General features: G+C 40.2%; 1 protein-coding gene and 1 long non-coding RNA gene across 3 annotated transcripts in view, besides 1 other annotated feature; one reads left to right on the top strand and one right to left on the bottom strand.

Moving 5' to 3' along the window:
- Nucleotides 1-24,646, top strand: part of SCFD2 (sec1 family domain containing 2) — a 493,080-nt gene that overhangs the window by 414,318 nt on the left and 54,116 nt on the right. The window lies entirely within an intron of this gene.
- Nucleotides 527-1,464: an enhancer, noted in NCBI's record as "NANOG-H3K27ac hESC enhancer chr4:53816447-53817384 (GRCh37/hg19 assembly coordinates)". NCBI's record gives its function as "activates a minimal SCP1, AML or CMV promoter by ChIP-STARR-seq in naive H9 embryonic stem cells {active_cell/tissue: H9 hESC(naive)}" and the evidence as "EXISTENCE:reporter gene assay evidence [ECO:0000049][PMID:30033119]".
- SCFD2-AS1 (SCFD2 antisense RNA 1) lies at nucleotides 722-24,432 on the bottom strand. 2 transcript variants are annotated; one of them, XR_245255.4, is made up of 3 exons: nucleotides 19,698-24,432; nucleotides 5,984-6,191; nucleotides 722-3,464 (listed from the first exon to the last, which is right to left on the bottom strand). It is a non-coding gene; the product is annotated as an SCFD2 antisense RNA 1 (long non-coding RNA). The 2 variants fall into 2 exon arrangements; XR_001741692.3 differs by having other exon boundaries at nucleotides 722-3,461.

The following is a 24,646-nucleotide window of genomic DNA, read 5'->3' as shown; positions in this document are numbered from 1 at the left end:
CATCTTGAGGTCTCCACAGAAACTATGGTGGGGAAAGAAGAGCTGAGCTGGAGGGTCTCGTGTAAGCTTTTGGAGTATCACTTCTTACAGACTCTTGACAAGAACTAATCACATGACTTCTCCTAACTGCTAGGGGGCTGGAAAATTAGGTGGATCCTACAGATAGTCAGTATGCAGATGATGCTTCTGCCACAACACATCCCCCCAAATTTTCAATATAATTGAGTCGATTACAGCTTTCCAATCGTAAGTTAGTCTTTCTAAGGGTACTGGTTGGCTAGATTGGAGTTGTCAGTTTTCAAAGATTTCCCAGTCTCAGGTTAACAAGCCTTCTTCTGTGCTCTTAGACAATGTAGTATGCATGTTGGTTATAGACCTTACCATGTTGCATTAGATTTAGTCGTCAGTGTTTCTGTTTCTGCCTCTCTATGCTTCTCCGTGTCTTAGCCAAACTTCTAAATCTTGAGGGCAGGAAATAGGTGTTTGGAGTTTTTTAAAGAAAAACATTGCTAATACTCAGCAGAATGGCTGGCTCTTTGGTGAGTCAGGGAGGAAGGAAGGGAGGGAGAGAATTAATGAATGAATGAATCAATCAATCAAAGCCACCTCTTAGAGTATGTTAGTCCCAAACTAAACACATCTATTATGGGTTGATTTTACCAGTGTAGTGGGCATCAGTCTCAGGATAAATGTTCGGGTGTATAACAAATGCAACTTTAAATGTTTTTCTCTAATTCCTTTAATTTACATGTTGTGCTCCCATTCCACTAAGTGGGGGAACGGAATTGCTGTCTGGTAATTCCAGGTCCCCCATCACCTTTTTCCAGGGCCATGTCTAATCTGGAGGCCAAGACTGTAAGGAGCTGGTATCTGTTCCCGAATGCTGTCTGTCCTGAAGGCATCTCCATGACACATTTTGTCTCATTGAGCCTCCACTGTCAGTCCACAAGGTCCTGGTGGGCGCCCCCTAGTTCCTGTTTGAAAGGCTTCTGGGGTCTAGTTCACTATATCCCCAAGTCTCTTTAAACTCCATTAGGTCAAGAGAAGCCTTCTTCAGCCATTGAGGAAGGGAGCCCAGGGCACCTTGAGAGTCCATTCTGGGTTTCACCTACAGTCATGCCACATGAGCCACGGGCAGTGCAGGGCCATGGAAAACTCTATGACCTTGTCTGACATGTCACACAGCCATTTCTGCTCTAGGTATTTTGCTTTCCTGTATTTCATTCAAAGGGTAAAACATAGATTCCCTTTGTTCTGTAAACCTACAAACATGTCTGAGCATTCTCTCTCTCTCCCCCAGGGCTTTGCTGCAGAGATGGCTAGGGGGCAGGGCCCCTTTTCTCAGGAATGTAGAACATTTACTTATTCTTTGTTTTCCCATTAGCTCTCCTCTCCTTCCACCCCAACTGCATTCAACACCACCCAACTCCCAACGAAGGGACATATTTCCAGTCTTGGGGACAAGAAGTCTAACTTTGCCTCTTTCAATTTTTCGAGTATCCACAAGCATTACAAACTCAATACCTAAATGACTGAAATGTGTTATAAGGTCAGAAAAATGTGATTTTATGCGTGTATGTAAAACCCATTAATATTTTGAAATATTTTGTTGCCATGCTAGTGCCACTCTCTGGGCAGTCTTCTTTTGTCCTCAGATTTAATTGAGGGCATCTACAGCTTGTCTCATACCCCATCCACAAGTGTCTGCTGCACTGTTGTGTGTACAGATGTGTTTGTTGGTGCCATCGGTCCACCCCTTCTGCCTAGAGTAGACCTGCAGGTAGGTTTGTACAGCACATTTGAGAGGCCTGACATAAAGCCAGGCTTCACATGGCTAGCCCAAGACCCTGTCACCAGAGGCTGCACTTCTTTCTGGATTCTGCACCAAGGTTCAAAAACATCTTGTGCACTCTCACAATTTGGTGTTACAGGCCTGGCTTACTTAAGCCCTAAATAAAAGGATGGAAAATTGTTCTTTCATTGTTTTCCTGGAGCATTAGGTCTGGCCCTTGTGGTTCACCCTTCTGTCCCTGCATGTCCTCAGAAGGGGGAAACGTTGAGACTTCAGCGTGGTCACAAGAGACTGCAGTGCTGAGAGCGGAGCCAGTGGACCAGGAGGAACTGATTTCTCTGTGCCTCTCAGTAACACTGTAGGAAAAACTCTCCTGTCCGTGGGAACCCTGAGGCAAGACAGCTCATGTAGGAAAGAGTTCAAGAGAGAACACCTGTTGGTTAAGTCAAAAATGAAAATAATGGACCTCAGACATCAAAAGGGAAAGTGGCTGCTTTCAGAAACAGCTGAAGCTACAAATGGCTGTGGGAGATGAATGCAATGCATCCATAAAGAACAGGCCTGTGCAGTCCCTGAGCTCCTAGGCTGTACACCCCAACCACACTTCCATAATGTACACATTGGAAAAGATGCCATTGTTAAAATATGGACTTATAAGTCGAAGTATTCATGTAAAATATTTGTGAAATATTTATGTAAAAAATGCTCAGACATGTTTGTAGGTTTATAGAACAAAGGGAGTCTATGTTTTACCCTTTGAATGAAATGTAAAATATGTGTGTGTGCATGTGTATAGTAAACTGATGTCCTGAGAATATTTGAGTGTCCTATAGAACTTATGGTGAGAACATGGAGCACTGGTGAGGTCACCTGGCTTTGTCTCAGGTCCCTCAGAGAGTTGGTGGCTCAGCAACATCTATCCAGTCCAGTCTTGGGGCTGCCTGTCCTATGCTTCTCCTCCAGAAGGCTTTTTGCTCAGAATTTTAACTCCCTATGATGATGCAGGAGTCTTCTTAAGCCACCTCTTAAGATGCCTGCTTTTAATTAATTTGTATTAAAAGAGCCTGTGTAGGGAGAAGAAAATAGAAGGCGGGATGTGGGAGAAAGAGAATATACATTACAACCCTGGAAATAGATGCAGAAAAATAATCAATCCGCCCATCGTTTTAAATCTAGCCTGTCCACCCCCATGAAGACTACACACTGTCAGGAAAAGGAGAGGATCCAGCGTGTTCTTCTGTTGGTTGCTTATGCTGATGGCTGCATCCTCCAGAGTTAACAAATCATATATATAAGTAGGAGTTGGAAATTAGCACAATATTTCCATATGTGAACCACTGGTTGCAGTAAAGAGACTTGGCATGTCCCCACTAGGAACAGAATATTAGCACTGACTTACATTTGTTTAGTTCTGTACAGATTAAATTGCATTTTCACTAGCTCATTGGCATCTTCAAGATAACCTGAAGGTCACTGTAGTTATCTCCCTTTACAGAAGCAGAAACTGAGGCTGAGAGTTCAAGAATCTGTCCAAAGTTGCTAGCTCGTGAGTCCAGGCCCTTTGACTGAAATCACTTGTTTCTTCTATGGTGCCGCAGCTGCATCATCATTACTTCCCGGTCTTTGGGGGCTCATGGATGTTTGTCAGAGTGCTGGGAAAGCTGTGGCTCTGCTGATTAAGAGCCATGTGCCAGGGGGACAAAAGAGGGAAGAGAAAGCGCATTAACAGAGCACTTGCTGTGTTCCAGGCATGTAATAGCCTTTATCTCGTTTAATCCCTCTATTTTATTTACAACACTACACTCTCCCACCTCAGGGTTCCAGCCTCTGCTGTATCCCATATGGATTTGGGTAGTATCACACCTTTAAATTTGTGTCATTCTCTCTTCCCTGATCCTGTGTAAAGAATTTTTTGTACGTGATTTTTTGTGATTCACATGATTTCTTCTAGGATTTGCCTGCTTTTTTTTTTTTTTTTTTTTTGGCCTATTTTTCTACTTGGTTGTTTGTATTTTTCCAATTGATTTTCTTATTGATTTCTTTGTTTACTTATGTAATCCTTTGTTGGTTTTATGTTACAAATACCTTATACTAGCTTAAGGCTTAGCTTTTCACTCTGTTCATGGTATCTTTCAATTTTTTTTTTTTAATTTTAAAGTTTTGGCCTTTTCACATTTAGTACACCTGTATTTTTTTTCCATGAAATTTGTAATCTAGGGATGAAATTTTATATCGTTTTTTTGCGAACACCATTTGCTAAGTAGTTCATCCTTGCCCCTACTGAATTTCAGTGCCATCTTGGTAGTATATCAAGTTTCCATATGTGCATGGAACTGTTTGTGGGCCCTCTGCTTTGTTTCATTCATCTAAATGTGTCTATCCCTGTGCCAATACCACCCTGTCTTAATTACTATATATGTATAATGAGTCTGTTCTTCTTCAAATTTTTCATGGTTATTCTTAACCATATGCTCTCGCATAGGTGTCTTAGAATCAATTTGTAAAATTATACATACACACTTCACTTTGTGATTTTCATTGAAATTGTACTGAATTGCTAGATCAATTTGTAGAGAATTGGTATTTTTACAATACTAATGCCTGATGGAACCTGAGTTTCAACTGCCATAAGCCTATGAAGGCCGGAGCTCGCTCTAAATAATGAAATGACTTCTGGCTTCTGTCTGTCAGTTTCCCCGTGAATGGAAAGCCCTTTCCGAATGGCCATCCTTCAACAAATCTTGAGTTCATCATGACAGATATTTTTCTTGATGGTGAGCTGAAGGGAGAAATGATTATTGTAGTGCAGTTTGCCAAGACTTTTTTCTAGCTGAGTGATCAAATATATGTAATTAGGGAGAAGAAAGCCTGTAAGAACAGTGCAGGAGCCAACTCAGCTCTGACAGCTGAGTCCCTGAGATGGCCTGAATGAAAGCGCTCACATGCACCAGGGCACAGTGAGCAGCCTGCATGGGCTGGAAACTGTCAGCAGGACAGAGATGCAAAAATAGAATAGGACAGTGCCATCGAGCCTGCTGAGGTTGACATGCCCAACCAATTTCATTCCAAAGATTATTACCCTTTTCTTCTGATGTCTACTTTCCTGATCCTCCCAGCTTTCCAACCATAAGTACCTAAGACTCAAAGAAAAACAATCCCTGAGTCCTGAATAGTAATAATGCTAATCCTTTGTTCTAGGAGGTTCCAATCCTGGTAAATGAGGATTTTTAAAAGATGAGAGCCTATTTCTTTTAACTCTTAAGATTTTCTAGAAATTAAAATAAGTGGCTTTATTATGGTAAACTACAGAAACATAATTAATATTTTTGGTTAAGGAGATGAAAACATAGTGATTGTTTATGACCCTAATCTTAGTTGTTATGATGATAAGTCATTTTTATTCCTAATTACAGAAAAATTCTTGAGAACTCTGATACTCCTTTCTCTTTGCTTAAGAAGGAACTCTGAATTTTAGGTATTTTCATCAAATTTTTTTTTTAGAAGTAAAGGGCAAATATTCCTAACATTTTTAGAGTAAGAATACTTTGGTAATTTTGAAACATGCCATTTCCTATCCTTCTGAAAGTACTCTATATATTTATTTTTTAAATGGAAAATTTTAGAATCTTTTCCTATGAGATCTTAAGGATCTTTTTGGCATACTGAGATAAACCTATGATGTTCACGGCTGATAATCACAGCTTTAGAAAATGCATTTTATACCAAGAAGGAAAACATAGCTGGCAAACCATCAGAACTAACTGTGGTATTAAAAATGCAGATCCCTAGTACCATGCCAAGAGATTCATTAGACACCTGTGATAATTTTCTATGCTTTTGAAGCAAGAGTCTTATTGTCTCAATTTTTTGCAAATAACCTATTTCATTTTTCCATGATAGTAACTTATTCCAAATGCACGTGGTTTTATTTTCTCCTAAAACTAAAAAAGTTAAAAGATTATTTTAAAAGGATGCAGCATTTGCTTTTTAAAATCAGTTAATTTAGGGAAAAGAAAAGAATATAACCCCCCAAAATGTTCGATGTATAAATCCCAAACTCATTATTCCTTCTTGAAAAAAGAGAAAGGAATGTTAAAATTCTCATGAGTCTTTCTGTAACTGAAAGGTTAGAGAAAGAAAAAGAGAATTGAATTTAAAGTCAGTAAAATAATAATCCCATTTGAAACTTACGTTATTTTTCATGGCTTGGAAAGTATGTCCAGGAATATCTGATAACTGAAGCCGCTGAGAAGGCAGTGTCCTAGTGGGAGCTGTAACTGTCTGCTGATAAGGAATCCTTTCCCTTTGGTTTTGTTTATTGGTAGTGGTGATGTTTTTTGAATTTGAGTCTTGCCCTTGACATTAGCAGAAGTACAACTCATTTTTCCATGGATGAACACTAAGTATTAATGTAAAAAGAAACATCTGTAAAAAGGTCAGTGTTAACATCCTCATACTCATTGCCATGACAAGGATATGGAATTATTTTACCAGACTAAGTTAAAATATATGTGTTGAGGGGGAGAGGATTTGGGGAGAGAAAATCTTAAGTGTGGGCTGGGGATATAAAAACAAGGCATTCCAACCAGATTTTCTGGGCTGTGCCTTTAGTTCTCTAAAGAAAAATAATTTAAATATATAATTAAATAAGATTCATAATGCTTATAGCATACGAATGTGATCTCGAATGAAATTTAAACAATAGAGATAAAAGCACAAGTCCCTCTTGAGATCTCTTTTTCTAATTTCACCCCTTTCCATATGTAACCCCTTTCATCAGTTTTGATGTAGTCTTCTACATTCTTTTGTAAGTATTCACATACAAATTTATCTGCAAAGAAATGCTTAGAAGTATATAGAGCTTTTTAAAGCATTATGACATAATATTCTGCATATTGTTCCACAGCTTGCTTCTTCCACTTAATATGTCTTAGTTATTTTCAGATAACTCTATAGAGCTTTTTTAGTGACTGCATATTACTCCATATTATTAATTTAGTCTTTACTTATTGATACAGGAGTTGGTCAAGAAATATCTGCAGCTAGGTGGACATGGAAGGTTTGATTATCTCTGAGTAGCTCAAAGACATTTAATGACTCCAGGGAGGGGACTTCAGAAGGAGGCCACCTTCTCCTTCCACCAGTTAACCTGGAGGTTACTTCACCTACCTATAGCTCTCCTCAGAGGGATGTCTCTGATCAAGCATTAGGCAACAGTGGCCAGGCACTTTAGTGAAATATATTTAAAACTAAATTCAAAAGTTGAAGTAGAGTATCTATTATGTTAAACATGTGAAAAGAGAGACCAGGCAGTTTTGTCCTTGAGAGCAAAATTTAGATGATAAATTTGTCATTAGAACAACAGACATAGGTAATTCAATCTTTTAAATAAAAGAGTCATGACATCTATCTCTTTACAGTGTTGCATAGTTCTCTAGCATGGACCCTAAAGAACTGAATAATATAGTTAGCTATTATCTTTTTCTGTCTTATGGTCTCTTCCTTTAGTGGTTTTAACCCTACTTGTCATGGTTCTTCTCTTAAGTCCCAGATATTTGGGCATAAGAAGGAACTTAACATTTCTAAGACATGATTGTTATAAAAGCAATATAATTTCAATGTCTTCTCCCACAACCAGAGACATTTTGGTATAGAACTCAATAACATTTCTGCAGTATGGAAATCTTTTGACAAATGAGATAAACAGTAATACATAATTTGTATGAATAAAGAAACAAGAGAATTCTCAGTCTTAGTCCACAATGACATAAAATAAATATTGAGAGGTCATATGATATAATTATATTAATCCAGATACAACTAAAAGAGACAGAATGTGTTTAAAATTACAAGTGTTATCTATCATTCAATAAGGCCCATTAAGAATATTTTTAGTGCTCATTATCCTTGTCAGTTTCTAAGGGTTTATCTGCTAAATAATTGTTTGTACTTTTAACATTTTGACATCCTGGAGCTCTTGTAGTTAGGCTTTCATTTCATGTGATTGTTTGATAAACAAATGTTTTCAATGGGCTAAAAATAAAGCTATACCATGTGTCTGAATTCAGCCCTCCCACATGGTTCTATTTTAGGCACATTGAAGGGTTGGGAGAAGAAGAAGGAAGCCAAGATGGGTGATACAGAGCCATTGCATGGTGAGCTCAGGGTCTCTCCTCATGTCAGCCTAATATGCTAGGGTTTGGTTTGAATGTGTCCCCTCCAAAATTCAAGTGTTGCCAATAAGATAGTATTAAGGGGTGGGGTCTTTAAGATGTGATTAGACCAACAAAGCTCCTCCCCTATGAATGAGGATTAAGTGCCCTTATAAAGGGGCTCTATGGAGGGGGTTGGTTTTCTCTTGCCCTTCCTGTTAGGGATAAGGGAAATTCACAAAGTTAGGATATGGGCACAAGTTACTCACTGCATGGTGAGTGCTTGAAGGCCAGATTAATACTATGTATCAATTAAAGAGAAGCTACACCTGGTTCCGCCCTGTGAAGATGCAGCAAGAAGGCCCTCACCTGGCACTTTGACACTGACTTTCCAACATCCATAAATTTACTGTGAGGAAGTAAATTTATGTTCTTTATTAATTACCCAGTCTGAAATATTCTGTTATAGCAGCACAGAACAAACTAAAACATATACCTAGCATAAGCTTAATGCCTATCTTTAACAGGGTTTTTGTTTTGTTTTGTTTTGTTTTGTTTTGTTTTGTTTTGTTTTGTTTAAGGCATGAGTTACTGACAGTTTCTTTAATATGGGATGTTTGGAATTCAGCACATTCCGTAAGGCATACTCTTGACACTAGTGCCAGAGAAGCTGGGGGCTGCAGCTGGCCTTCTTGTGTCAGGCATACCATCTTGAATCACTGGGCTACTCCCATACCTTTGTTTTGTTTAAATTATTTTTTACCATTTTAGGAGATTTTATTTAGTAGTATCAAGGTAAAGTCAAATTCAGATAGTACCAAATTCCCTTGTGCTTAATGACTTTTTTTTTTTTTGCTTTTACTTTCCATGGCAGATTTATATAGGTCATATCCTTAGCTATCTATAAGCTTTCCTATATAGGCAAATCCCATTTTGATGAGGAATATTCTCATATCAAAATGCTCAGAATATTTCCAAGGCCAAGCCACTGCTAGCCCACTTGTTTTGAGTTATATTAAGTGGAGTGAAATACTTTCTCCCTGGACCTTAGTCCCTCTCCCTTCTGTACTTCTCCTCCTGAGATGTCATTCATTGAGAGTGCTACGTAAAGGTAACTTTAACAAAGTTGCCTTTCTCTCAGTGTCAGGCACTGTTTCAAGGGCTTTCCATATAGTAACTCATTTATTCCCCCAACAACCCTATGAAGGAGGTACTTTTATCACCCATATTGAATTTATGAAGCCCAGAGAAGTCAGGTAATTTGCTCAGGCCCCCACAACTAATGAATGGCAGAACAGGACTCATAACAGTCTCCCTGGCTCCCTGGCCCTTGCTCCTAACAGCCACATGATTCTACCTCTCCTAAGTTAGCACTTCCAGCTAAGATAGTCACATCTGTCCAGATCAGCTCCCAGTTCCTCTAGCATGACATTGGTGCTGGAATCAGAACTCTCAGCTTCTTTCAAACTAGCACACACTTTCCAGCTTCTCCATTATGTCCCACAACCCACTCTCCCCCTTGTCCCTTGGCTAAAAACTAAAAAGCTAATCTTTTGCCAAATATTCTGTAGCTTCTGCCTGCTGTTTTCCTTTTTCTTTGACAACCAACTTTCTACCATCTAGAGTCAAGATTTTAGTTCTTTTCCTCCACTTTCTGTATACTCCAATCCTACCACACATAGACACTAGAAAAATCTTTCCTCTCGTATACCATTTTCATCAAACTCTTGGCCCTGTGAAAGAATCAGCAGTAGCTTCTCTTTAATTAGTATAAACAGGTTGAACATCCCAAACCTAAATTCAATATGCTCCAAAATCTGAAACATTTTGAGCTCTGGCATGATACTCAAAGGAAATGCTCATTGGAGCATTTCAGATTTCAGAGTTTCAGATTAAGGATGCTCAACCAGTAAGTATCATGCAAACATTCCAAAACCCAAATCAAAACATCTTAAATCTGAAACACTTCTGGTCCGAAGCATTTTGGATAAAGGATACTCAACCTGTAGTATTCACATGGCCTCTTAGCATGCACTGTGCAGTGGGTAACTTGTGCCCACATCCTAACTTTGTAAATTTCCCTCATCCCTATCAGGGCAGGCCCTCTGTTTAAGCTAGGCAGTCTGTTTCAGATGGAGCCATTCATTCAACAAGCATTTGGCATGTGCCTTCTGTGTGCCAGATAAGTGAACCGGAGTGAGTGTCTGGCTTCCCAATACTCGCTGTCCAATGATGAAGACAGTTAGGTTTAACACAGTGGGGTAATAATTCAACATTGTATTTCTGGGATCTTCTTAAGACTACCAAGGGAGCATCTCAGCTTCTGGGCAAGGAGTCCAAGAAGTTGAGTGTTTAGTTTTCCAGCCTCTGTTATATAGAAAGACCCACCAAAAGAAGCAGAAATAAATGTCAGAAAAGCTATCACCCTCTCTGCCATGCACGGCTTTGTTTATATTTTGAGTACTTATTACGTTCTAACATTTACTTACATATCTATTTGTTCATTATCTGTCTCCTCAGCTAGAATATAAGAGCCATGAAACAGGTATGTATGTTGTCTTGTTCACCATTACATCCCCTAGAAACTATATGCTGCATAGTAGGTATTCAATTAATATGTGCTTAATTAATTTTGTCAGCTGAAAAGATCTTTCTGGAACTGTGTTGAAAAGGGGTGTGAGGCTACCTTCTCTTCTGCAGGAAAAAAAAAAATGCCAGGATTTAGCATGGTTTTTTATGGCTTGGATAGAGGGTCTCAGAACTTAGGCTGTAAAACTGCTATCTAGGACCGGGGGAATCAAGGGAGGTGTCATGGGAAAGGGGACATCTGAGCTGATATATCAGAGAGAAGGAGAGTTTACCAGGCACAGGATCAGAAGGGCATTTCTAACAGTGGAAAGAGCGTGCCCAAGGGTCTTAACCAGTCCTCCCCTAAAGAACATGCTCATTCCTACTCCCACAGGGTGGTGTCTACTCTTTCTACCTTAAAATGCTCGTCCCTTCCGCACTTTCTATCAGTTTGTGTCTTCTCCTATAAGTGCTTAGTCCTACAACAAGAAGTCCCTTTGCGCATTACCACAAAACAGATTGTTCCCTGGCCGAGCCCTCAGAAAAATCAGTTTAATAGGGACACAGGGGTACTCTTCTGAAATCCGAACTTACGAGCAGTGGTTCATGTTTCCTGTCATTTCAGCTACATTCCTCTTTCTAGCTGCAATTGGAATCCCCAGATTACAAGAGTCCTCCCAGGTCATCTTCTAATCTACCTTATGCATTAACCCTTCTATAGTTAGATTGTCAAACTGCCCAGATACGGACTGTGTCTTTAATTTCTAATGTGGGACTTACTTGTCTCTCTAGTTCACATGGTCCTACATTGTGACCTAGCAGCCCCTACTCTGACATTTCCACTCAGGAGAGCCATTTATTTCTTAATTTCCATGTGGGAGGGATCTCCCTGTGAAACTGAGAATGCAGATCTATTAATACATGCTGAGTGTAGTCGGAACAAGCCCCAGCCATTCTGGGGTCCTTGGCTGGGTTTTAAAGGGGCTCAGGCCTCTTGATGCTTTACAGCACCTGAGGTTCCTCAGGCACCTTTCCACCCCAACGGCTGTTCATTCTATCAGGCAACCAATCAACATTTATTGAGTAGCTCGCAGGTCAGGCATAGTAAAGTTCTGATAAATGTGACCAAGAGTCGTAGCCCAGCAGGGAAGACTAGCAAGCAAATTGCCCTTCTGTCCTCCTGAGTTGGGGGTGCCAGCTGCCCTAGAGGGAATGTAGGCTCCCTGCTTGGGTTTGAATTCCTAAGCCAGCTGGGCTGGGGACTGCTGTTAACAGCAGAGCAGAGCTTCTCTTGGTTTTCACAGGTGACTTTGATGTCACCAGCCAGTGGCAGCATGCCACCAGAGTTATGTGTGCCAAGGTGAAACATATGGCATATTCTTACCAAATGTGTGCAAATCTGGACAGGAAGAGATGATGACGTTCATGGTGCTTCTTTATTTGGCCATTATTCCTCATTTATTTCCTAGCTTTCCTTTCTCTGCTTTTTTTTTTTCATTTTTTCTTTCTTCCATTCCTTTGAGTGTACTCTTAAGTCCAAACCCATCCTTACCCTAGTCAAATGGCTCTTATCACACCATAATGAAATTACCACTTTACTTGTCTGTTGCCCACACTAGATTGTCAGCTCATCAACAGAACTGTCTTGTTCACTCTGAGATTCGTAGCACAATGCCTGACACATAGTAAGCATCTTATCCCTTTTGGAGAATGACTCAGTGACTGAATGCCTTTCCCTCCTAGTGTTCCTATGTTTGGCCCTTAGAGTAATCTAGTTGCATATGCTTTTTATAGACAACATAGTATAATCACAAGATTCAGACAAGCCTGGATTGGAATCTCATCTCTGTCACTTACTAGCAATTCTGAACATCAGTTTCCATAGAAATAAAGTGGAAATAATACCTACTTCTCAGTATTGCCAATACCAAGAAGATTAGGTGTGATAACCTGTAAATATTTAAAATATCATAATGGCCAATTAATGTTTGTTTCTATTTTCTTTCTAATTGGCTGCATAGATTCTTTATTCATTTTCTTTTTCACCTAGACTGTGGAGGGTTGGCATTTGTATCTGTTAGGTTGTGCTAATAACAAACAACCCCACAATCTCAGTAGTTTAAAACAATGGCTGGTTTCTTGACTGTGCTATGGGTCCACCTCAGATCTATGAGGGTTCTGCCAGACATCCAGAAGTCCCCTGGCTTCCATGATCACTGAGGCAGGTAAAAGGGGGAGTGGTAAATTAGACACTGGCTTTTAAAGGCTTCAGCTCAGAAGTGGCACATGTCCCTGCCACTCATGTTTTACTGCCCAATCCCTACCTCATTCAGAGAAGAGTAAAATCCTACCACACACGGAAGAGGAGAACTGGTATATTGCTGAACACCGATGACGAGTCCAGCAATATTTAAGATGAGTTGACTTTGAAACACAATGAAACCTTATTCATTTAGGTTACTTTAATCTAGATTGAGAGTGAAGATTGTTGAACAAAAGAGTAAAATCAATAAAATTACAATGGCAACTGCTTAGCCTGCTTAAGAGAATAAAAAATTATTTTAAGGACATTAAGTGTTAGTTATTAGCTATAGGGCACTTGAGTTGGAATCTAATTTTAAGGGTTCATCACAACAAGCAGTACAGACCTCTGCTTGTTAGTATATTACAGATTAGCCCTAGTATCAATATGTATTTACAGGTAATAAAAGTGCAGTTTCTAAGTAACTCGTAGGTTTGTCATAATTTAAACTGATCTTTCTCCTAGCCATTTATTTAAATTTGGACTATTTTACTGTGTTTGTACTATACTTTTTATCATAGTCATTTCAGTGTTTATTGATTTCCTGCAATAGTAAAAACATAACATTTAGGAGTCTGGGCTCTGGGCTCAGACTGCCTGGGTTCAAATAATGGTTCTGCCATTGACTGGCTGCTTGGCCTTAGGCAAGTTACTCAACCTCTCTGTTATTTTTCTCATCTGTGAAATGGGGATAATGCTAGTACCTACTTCATAGAACAGCTCTGAGGAGTAAATGAACTAATACATATAAAGTACTTAGAACAGTACTTGGCACATAGTAAGTGCTCAATAAATGTTAACTATTTTCATCATTTTTAGACACAGTGGAGAAATGCAGAGGAAGTGTGATGCAGGCAGAAGTTTTTATGTTTTGTTTGCTGTTCTAACCCATGTTTAGGACAGTGTCACATGGCAGGCACTTAGTAAATATTTGTTGAGTCAATGTATGAATCAATGTATGAGCACTACCTTTGTGAAATTTAAACATCGGCTTAATTCTTGATTCCTTTATTGGAATAATAAGAAAATTTCCTTTTCTTAAAGCTACCTTAACCAACCTTGAATTTTCAGGATCCAGAATGAACCAGTAAGTAACCTCACTGGTCAAGGATTTTCATTTTTTCCTTCACTTGCCAGCTCACTTTCAATCAAATCCAGCAGAGGTGCCCATGTCGAGCTTCTGAGATTGGCACTCTCCTCCCTCCTCTTCACACCCTCAGTTGGTGACTCTGGCATTACAATATTGAGCCTCTCACAACAGAGGCTGGTGACAATGAAGCCATGCTATAGCTTCCTCCTATAGCAATTTGGATGATTATTGTGTTTCAGAATGTGGCTTTCTGTCCCACTGAATTTCATCATGTTCTTACTGTCGGGAAGGGATGGAGGAGACATTGAAAATGGTCATGTGAAGTGCAGAGCTTGTGTGCTCTCTACAGGAGCCCCTTGCAGATGGTCTGCTTCTCTCCTGGTGCCCCCACGTAAGTCCACTTATCAGCCTAAGAAGGAGTTCAGGCTTGTGAATGTGCCTTCCTTTCCAGCCTTCATCCATGTGCATGCTCTTGTCTCTCTTGCTCCTTCGTCTGTGATTCTGTACTTGCCCCCAAATGATCTGGCCCTCTCTGCCTCTCTCACCTGTTCTGCATTCCCTACCCCTCAGCCAGCCACTTGGCCCCCTTGCTCTTCTAGAACTTAAGCACATTCCTGCCTCAGAGCCTTTGCACTTGCTGCCCTTCTGTCCAGAAAGTTTTTCCCCAGGTATCTGTAGTGTTTGCCTACTCACTTCGAAAAGTGTCTGCTAAAATGCAAACTCCTCCAAGAGGCCCTTTTTGGCCACATGTAAAATATCCCCTACCTCCATTTTTCTTGTAAGCACTTACCTCTAATATCACATGATTTATTTACATGTATATGTCTATTTCTCACCATTGAAGTGTAGACTCCATGAGCACAGACACTATACCTTCAGTGCCTAGCGGTAGTCAGCACTCAATAAATATTTATTGAAAGAAAGGAAGATCAGCTTACAGCTAATAAATACATGAGTTGATTTAAAGTCAACTTACAGGAGAAGACTGAGTAAATAATGGAGTAGACAGTACAAAGAAGTTGCAGAAGCGAAGGTGATAAATGAGTGATTGAAGTTTGGGAAACATGGATCTAGCAGATACAATGTCTATGAGCTGAAGGAGGTGGAGGAGTGGAGAGGAGAGTGCTCTGGAGTTGGCTTCTAGAGTCAGGCTTTGAAGGAGAAGAGCAGATAAGTCAGAGCTAGAGGGGCCAGCCTGACGTTGGAAGTCTAAATGGTGTTCACCAAGGCTTGAGGAGAGAACTGAAAACTGAGTTGGCAGACAGACTTGATGGGTGCTCAGGAGAAGTGAAGAGGTATTTTAGAGTCTTATTACTAAGACACTCATTGACTTAGAAAGGCTATAAATCAGTACTGTGGCTGACCTTGTAAATTACAAAAATATATGTACCTGACCCCATATTTCAATGGCAGAGACAATATATCAGGTTTTTTCCCCTCTGCTGTTAACCTTGTTCAGACATATGGAAATCCTGAAGACTGCATTGACTGATGAAAAATGAAATGGAGGCTATGGTTTTTTCCAGGCATCAAGGACAGGAGGATGAGTTTAAGCGGGTGGAGCTATGGCACCCAGTAATGTTTATTTAGGGAAAGTTAATCCAGGTACCCAGCAATAAATTACATCACTACCCAGGAGTCGGCCTTCCTCCCCACCAGCCAAAATGAGCAGTCATTTAGACAGCCATGAAAAAGGAAAGGAAGTCTGGGTGCGGTGGCTCACACCTGTAATCCCAGCACTTTGGGAGGATGAGGCAGGCGGATCATCTGAGGTCGGGAGTTTGAGACCAGCCTGAACAGCATGGAGAAACCCTGTCTCTACTAAAAATACAAAATTAGCTGGGCGTGGTGGTGCATGCCTGTAATGCCAGCTACTCGGGAGGCTGAGGCAGGAGAATTGCTTGAACCCGGGAGGCGGAGGTTGTGGTGAGCCGAGATCATGCCATTGCACTCCAGCCTGGGCAACAAGAGGGAAACTCTGTCTCAAAAAATAAAAGAAAAGAAAAAGAAAAGGATGAGATAGATATGTGTTGCTTCTCAGAAGTGGAATTTGTTTTGCATTGGGCAGGTCTATGAAAACCTACCCCAAAGTCTGAGGAAGCTGAGATGCCAAAGAAAGAGGCTGACATATCCAATTTCTTAGAAAGAAACATTTAATAGGGACTTTAAATGTTTAACAGAAGCCACGTCTGTGTATCAGACAGCGGTGAGACACAATGGTGGATCCCCATGCCATTAACTCCCAGACCCAGGGTTTACATACCGTAGGGGAGGGCTGGTTCAGAAGGTATATGTAGAACAATCAAAGTATTACAACATCAAGGATGTTTGACCTAAGGGCAGGATTTACAGTGAGTATGTGCTCTTACACAAGCAACAATCGATAAACTGGAAATCTTAGAGGTCTTCCTAGAACAGGTGTTGATCAGGAGCCAACATGGTAGATTAGCTTTCAAGGTGGAATTGCTTCAGCCTCCACACAGAATTTTGTTGTTGTTGTTGTTAATTAAACACTTAAATTATATGCTTATTTAAAAATCAAAACAGAAGCATGTAAAGTGGAAAATAGAAATCTCCCATAATTCCTGACACAACAACACTTAACAGGCAATTGTTTCATTCAGCAACTATTTATTGAGCTCCTTCCATATGCCAAGCACAAGCACTGTTTTGGGAAGTTCCAATTCATTGTAATTAAAGATCTTTGTTCCCGCTGGGCTTACATTCTACTGCTGTGCAATGCAACACAGTAACCACTAGCCACATGTGGCTATTTAGATTTAGTAAAGTTAAATACAATTTAAAATTGAGATCCCCTGTCACACTGGCCACATTTCAAGTGCTCAGTGGCCATAAGTAGCTAGCGGCTACTGTATAGGACCACACAGGTATAGACTATTTTCATCATTGCAGACAGTTCTATGGGACAATAATGTCCATTCATACTCTTCAGCAACCAACTCTTGTCGCTTAATCTAGCGTGGTCATCTTCTTTTATCAATAAATCAAACACATTGATTTGTATCCTCCTATTAATGGATATTTAATTCCAGTTTTTCACTATTATAAATAATATTGCCATGAACTTCCTTGGAACTTATATCCTTGTGCATTTCTCCAACCTTTTTTAACATAAATTTTGCAAAGTGCAATCAGATAATACAGGTGATGTGCTGAAAACCCAGTAAGAGCTCAGTACATGCTGACTATGACTATGTGAAGCTTTGCAGAAGGCCCTGGAGGTGCATTTCTAGGAGCTGCAATTCCTAGAGGCTTCCTGCCTAAATTGGGCCCCAAGGCTTTTCACAACAAACAAACCAGACAGCCACAGCCTGCCTCTGGAAATGTAGAGCCCTGAAGCCACAGCCAACAATTTCCATAAAAATTTTTTCCAGAATAATTATGTGTTTTGAATCTAGCCACATGTTACATTTATTGACCACCTCCTGGATGCTTGACCCTACATGAGATGCCAAACTGGTTGCAGGCCTGAGACCTGTCTCTTTTTATGAGCTCACAGTGAAACCATTGTGGCAACTTGGGGGGCAACACATGGCTGTTCATTAAGGCTGGTCCTGAACAATTTGCACATTTTTTTTCCCACTGGGAGAGAGGCAAGCACTTGATGCAGTAATGAAGGAGGTTGTATGCTAGTGTGGGAAAAGAGAACTTAAATGTTACCAACTTGGTCCATCTAGGTTGATCATTTTTTCTTTCATTTTTTTCGGTCTTAGTCCACTTTGTGTTGCTATAGCAGAATATCACAGACTAGGTAAATTATAAACAATAGAAGTGTATGGTTCTGAAGACTGGAAATTCCATTTATGGTTCTGGAGACTGGAAATTCCAAAGGCATGTCACCAACATCTGGCAAGACCATCCCACAGCAGGAGAAAGCAAGCACACAAGACAGAGACACTTAGCTTCAGACTTGCTTTATGACAACCTATTCCCATGATAATTAACCCACTCCGAGGGCTCCTCCCTCATGACCCATGAGACCCCACCTCCCAATGTTGTTGCATTGGAAATTAAGTTTCTAACACATGAACTTTTGGGGGACACATTCAAGTCAAAGCAGGGCCCAAAAGAAATTCTAACTACTTTAGAGTTTTTATTTCTAAACTAACTCTCAAATCCCTTGCTGTTTCTGGGAAATGAGAAGCTAAGACCTTCTCAGCTGTCCAGTGCATATTCTGCCTTCAGATCATGGAGCCGGCTGTAGTTCACCAGTTCTTTAACTCTCCCCATCCCCATCCTGCAGAAGGAAAGAGCTACACTCTGAGCCCAAGCCCCACTCTCTCAAACCCATCCTACATGAACATGGTGGACATAGTAACTATGAAAACAGCTGTGGGCTTGAAATTGTCCCTGCACAGAAACAAGTGAAAGCCTAGAAGCCCTAAAGCTTTGTGATAACTCAGTTTTGTTAAGAGTTTAAATCTCCCTGTAGACAATGTGATTCATCTTAGTTATCTCTGCCAAAGGCTGAAGGAAATGAGTGAGCATCTCCATGGGGGCCTAAGTCTGGACTGGGGTCGGGCCGGGTAAGAAGCACCTAGAAGGCTGCAGACAGCAGCCTCTGTACCCCAGCAGGAAGTCTAGCCCTGTTCTCGGGGTCAGGGAAACAGAGAGAGCTGCTGCTTCCTGTCCTACTTCTTCCAGATCCTAACCCTGCTTGCAATGCTACTTGAATGTGCTTTGAGCCTAAGTGAGTTTCAAGAGGGAGACATCTTTCTGTAAGCTTCCCTGATTTTTCTGCATTTGTTTTGGAATCCACCTTCAAGGCCCAGCCTTGCCTCAGAAAGGGATGAGAAGAAGGGGAATATTTCTACTCTTCTCCTCCTCACCACGGCCCACTGGCAACCCTCTCTGGACTGTGTCCCAACTCTGAATCAAGCATGCCTAACCTACACACTAATTCATGCTGCCTCCAAAAGAAAATAGAGAAAAGTGATAGATAAGGGGCCTCATTTAGTGGGAGCTTAAATTTCAGGCATAGTGATGCTGGCTCGGTTCAATGGAGATTTACAACAACAGGTGCAGTGGAACCTTAGATTGGGGCAGAGAGTGATTTGTGTGTGTGTTGGGGGAGGGGAGAAAGTGGGGGCCTCATTTGATCTGTCTGCTACTGGAAGAAAAATAAACTCAAATTGCCCTTCTCTTCTTCTAAGAAACAAAGGGATGAAAGGAACTTTAGGCCACTAAGCTTCTTTTATTCTTGCCTCTTTCTCAAATAGATCAGAAAATAATCCCATATTATTAACCACCTTGCCTTCCCCAAAAATATGAAAAAAAAGACACTACTATTCCCCCGATACTTACAGAATCCTATAATACGGTCAGTGAGTCTGGACCTCAAAAAGCATAATGGAAAAAAAAGATTTTTAAAGAACTCTTCCAAGTGACAGTGAGAACAAGAGGTGGGGAAGGCAGATAGTAACTTGAAAGGCTTTTAAGTATGCCATGACTTGGTCTTCTGATTCCATCCTTTTCTACAAATGGACAATTAGCTGTGACAGAGGTTTGTGTAATTAGCAGACAAGTTAAACTCTGAATGAAGTATTCTTTGTAACCCAATAAGAAAAGCATTTTCCAGAGACGCATCACAGCCAGAAGTGTCACCATATGACTCCCACACTGTACTCCAATTTTATTGGCATTTCTAAAATAAAGTATAACGTTATCTCTTTAAACAAATCACCATGTGAGGTGGGCCTTTGGCACTATTTTTTAAACCAGCAACCAGACTGGTCTTGGGCTAAGATTCAGAAAAGAGCAGAAATAGTGTACCTGATGTCATCCTTCACAGCTTCCTTCTTGGCCTGCACCTCCAGGAAGCCTTCCAGGTGGTCTTCTTTGGGGAGCCCTGGGGCCTCTGCTGCAGCTGCATCAGGTAGAATCCCCGTCCCACACATACAGCCACATATCTTCGTGATGAAATACAGGGGGAGACAGCGTGGAGGATAAGAAGGTACGGGACTTGTTGCAGGAAGTGGCACATCAGATATGCTTCCTGGAGGGCAGGAGGGATCAGCCTCCATCAGGTCTCTAAAGGACCATCCACAGAAGATGCATCTGGGCTTCCATGTCACTCTCTCTGAGATGCTGGACTGGCCCATTCATTCTGAAACTATACACTGGGGAAATACTATTTCCTGCTAAAATCAAATTATGGCAGTCTTTTCCCAATTCAAAGAAAAATAAAGTAAGCAGATTAAAATTTCCTCACTGTAAGTTTTCATCTGTCCTGTGTTTTCTTAACTTTGTTGCTGCTTCATCTTTTGCAGCACCCTGCACTCCCCACCCGGAGGCGGAGGGGGGTGGTGGGAAACAAGAAGTAAGCAAATATTAACAGGAAAACTGCCAGCTGTGCTTAACTCATGGGCATGTTGTGATAACTCTTTTGTGTACCTTGTTTTCTCCTAGTTCAGAAGACGAAAGCAGTTGGTAATAACGTCATAGTGTTCTTCTATCAGGTGCAGCATAGCTCCCCAGGCTCTACCACCCAACAGCTTTTGAAAACAACCAGATCCAAGTAGTCTCTCAAGTCAGCTCTGAGAGTCCAGCAAACCATTTTGAGCTATTCAGAACCACCAGAAATGTCAACACACTTTGAAAGGGGACTTATTATAGTGAAAATGGCAAGTTTGTAATTCAGTAGAATTAATTCAATGGAATAAAAACAATCCACCTTTTAGGAAGCACTTCTAGTGAGATATGCCTGTTTGAGAACTTGGCTGTGATTCCTAGTAGGAGCCTGTGTGCTGCCTTCCTTGGGAATGGGAAGATTTGTGAACCTGAGCCTGGCGTAAGTGGCTGTATACAGGCATTTCCCCCACTTACAGTAGGTTTAATTGCTGGAAAAAGGTCCCAAAGTCGAAACGCTGTGAGAGATCTGATTTTCCCATGGTGACAGCCGATAATAGAACATTAGGGTAACTGATCAAAAATCTGATGCCTACCTTTTTAAAGAAATAACCTCAAACATTGTATTTCAGTTACTCTGAATGCTGAACTTCAGAATCTCTTTGTCTACAGTGTATTTAGTTTGATTTAATAGACAACTTAATGACCAATATATGAAATTGTATGAATTACTGTGATACAGTATCATGATATTTTTATAGTTCTCCACACTTCCCTTATTTAACACATAAAACCTTAAGATAAACTGTTAGTTTACAGTTACGGCAGTCAGAAGAGAGCCATTTTAGAGAGATTTTTCGCTTAGGCAGCTTAGAGAAAATTTTTAGAAATAGTTGGGGTTATTTCGTTGTTTTCGTGATGATCTAGGATCGTCTATTTTTCTACCTCCTTGATGGTTCCCATTTGTCAATTTTTGCTTTCGTTGTAATTGCTTTTGATATTTTTGTCATGAAATCTTTGCCCATGCCTATGTCCTGAATGGTATTGCCTAGATTTTCTCCTAGTGTTTCTCCTAGTTTTAGGTTTTACATTTAAGTATTTAATCCATCTTGAGTTAATTTTCATATAAGGCATAAGGAAGGGTTCCAGTTTCAATTTTCTGCATATGGCTAGCCAGTTTTCCCAGCACCACTTATTAAATAGGGAATCCTTTCCCTATTGCTTGTTTTTGACAGGTTTGTCAAATTTGGATCAGATGGTTGTAGATGTGTGGTCTTATTTCTGAGATCTCTATTCTGTTCCATTGGTCTATGTGTCTGTCTTTGTACCAGTACCATGCTGTTTTGGTTACTGTAGTCTTGTAGTATAGTTTGAAGTCAGGTAGTGTGATGCCTCCAGCTTTGTTCTTTTGCTTAGTATCGTCTTGGCTATACAGGCTCTTTTTTGTTTCCATATGAATTTTAAAGTAGTTTCTTCTAATTCTGTGAAGAATGTCAATGGTGGTTTAATGGAAATAGCTGAATCTATAAATTACTTTGGAATATATGGCCATTTTTACAATATTGATTCTATCCATGAGCATGGAATGTTTTTCCATTTGTTTGTGTCCTCTCTTATCTCCTTAAGCAGTGGTTTGCAGTTCTCCCTGAAGAGGTCCAGCGCATCCCTTGTAAGTTGGATTCCTAGGTATTTTATTCTTTTTGTAGCAATGCTTCCTGGAGCAGTACAGATGTTCAGGATCAAAGGGCTGCTTGTCCCAGTGCCTGCATCCCTAACAGGATTCCCGCTTTCTGGGCCTCTCTGGCAACTTTGCACCCTGCCAGGCAAACTTGCCTTTAAGACTGTGCAAGTTCTGAAGTGTATTCCTGATGGTTTTCCTTCCTTCAGGCTTCCCACCACGTGATTTCTCACAAAAAGCCTCAGAATTCTAGCTGGGCAGCCACTTGCAACCATGTCACATTCTCTCCTGAATGTACAAGTCTTTCCATGTCCATCACACATCCCAAACCTGCCTAATAATAATAGTTGTCAGCTGACATTTTTTCCTCTAATCAGCTGTTTTAAAAAGCTGAATTTGCTGGAGGCTTTAGAAAGTAGTGCAACTGGTTTTTGTTTTGTTATATTTTTAAGATAATAGCTGATACATATAAAAATTACATGATCTGTGTGGTATTAAACATACTTATATAATAAACACCCATGAATCCACCACCCTATCCTGGCACTTTGCTTACCTACCTCCAGATGAATCTGCCTTCCTCACCCATCCTTCTCTTTAAAACAGAGAAGGAGAATAATAAACACAAACTTCAGAGTTTTTGTCATATATGTGTGTATACCTAAACCACGTATAGTTTAGTTTTGCTTGTTAAATAGACAAGCAGAATTTATCAGCCAATTGAGGTTGGTCTTCTCAAGTAGCCTTTTTGGAAGTTTATCCACTTACCCATGTAGGCTGCAATTGCTCAAAACCATCTGGGAGCTCTTTGTTTGAAATTTCATGCAGAAACAGTTTATCAGCCGCTCAAGAAAATCAGTGCTGCTGCTTTATGTCATTTTTTTGGTCTGATTTAACTATTTTTTTCTATAACCTCTCTATTTTCCCCATTCACCTATTTAAAAACTATGTAGTGAGTGTCTTCTGTGAGCTAAGCACTGTGCTAGGCATGCAAGGCGAGTCCAGAGTCTCTGCTCCCACTGGAGCATGTCCTCACGCCTCCTCTCACCTGTCTTCCTTTGTCATTTGAGCAATAACTATAGGCTGCAGACTGCAATAACAATAGGAGCAATAACTATAGGCTGAGAGACTCCAAGACACCAAGCAGGATTCAGTGCACCAACAGTCATGGGATCAGCATAGTCGGGGAGCCAGAAGGGAGACTTCTGGGAGGACTTCAAGAAGGAGTCCCCACTTCGTGCATGCCTATTTGTCTTTGGCCTTTTGTGACCTCACCTAGATAGTTATAGCTCTAATTTTGTTAGTCTGCCTTCCTCACTAATCCAGGCATCTTTATATCATTACCTCCACACCTGCTGAGGTGTCCTGCTGTGTGATACATAGCTCAAGAACTCTAATATGAAAGGGGAAATTGTCCCTATAAAACCTGATGTCTGACAACCTAGATTATAATTTTCTTGAGACAGAATCTCACTCTGTCACCCAGGCTAGAGGACAGTGGTGATCATAGCTCACTGTAGCCTTGAACTCCTGGGCTGAAGTGATCCTCCCACCTCAGCCTCCCAAGCAGCTGAGACTACAGGTATGCACCACCACACTGGCTATTTTTTTAAATTTTTTTGTAGAGACAGAGTCTTGCTATGTTGCCCAGGCTGGTCTCAAACTCCTAGCCTCAAGTGATCCTCCCACCTCGGTCTCCCAAAGTTCTGAGATTACAGGCATGAACCACTGCACCTAGCCTATAATTTTTTTATGTTAGAACTTAAACTCACATTAGGTTATTAAACATGAAATTGATGACAGATACAAGTGCCTGGGTAGTATAAATATAAAACCTCAGAAATATGTGCTTATATATTGTTTTGATTTATGTAAAATATAGTAATACATCTAATAAATATGTGTATATATAATAGATATAATTTATGTATTCTAAACCAGCCTCCACCTGACCCAGTCACCGGAATCACTCACACTTCACAATCCTTTTATAAAATAGGACTAATGCCAAAACCCTGACCAATCACAGTTCTAAGGCTATTTCCATGTCCTGTGCACACCTGCTCTTCCCAGCTGAGTTGTGTGTTTCTGAAAGTCAACTGTGTTTCTTCTCAAACCTGTGTGTGCCAGTTGTACTTGTTACTAAGTTGCAAGATTTAATTAAATGTTCTCACATACTGATGAAGTATGAACTCAAAAAGAAAATTGTCTCAGTGAAAACCAAATTGGATGTTTTTGAAAGACTCAGTAAAAATGGGTCATTAATAAAAATGCTTTTGAATTAGGTGTGAACAAGGCAAATGTAAAAGATTGAAGAAAACAATTTAAAATCTAGAAGAATTCTGTCCTCAGATTGTGCTGCAGGTGTCTTTAACTTCTGGTTCCACTTTAAATGGGATTGCATGTGGTATGTCGGAAATCTTACATGGTAAATAATGTTTTTTAAAAAAGAACTCTAATCAGCAGACAATACTAAAAAAAAAAAAATTACCTTAGTCTGTCATCAAAGGATTAGTGAATGAAAACACATTTATATTTTAATTTAAAGATTACATATATGAATATGTACTTATACATATGGAGGTGTGGATAGAATAATTTAGAAATGTTTGTAAGAGAGAGATTGATTTTCCATGATCCTCCTCTTTTAATGACTTTTCCAATCACACATCAGTCCAAGCTTATTTGGAAAGAG

Source organism: Homo sapiens, chromosome 4 (genome assembly GCF_000001405.40).
Source record: "Homo sapiens chromosome 4, GRCh38.p14 Primary Assembly".
Taxonomy (NCBI): Eukaryota; Metazoa; Chordata; class Mammalia; order Primates; family Hominidae; genus Homo; species Homo sapiens.
The sequence above is the reverse complement of the archived record's forward strand: the minus strand, read 5'-3'. Positions and strand labels throughout refer to the sequence as shown.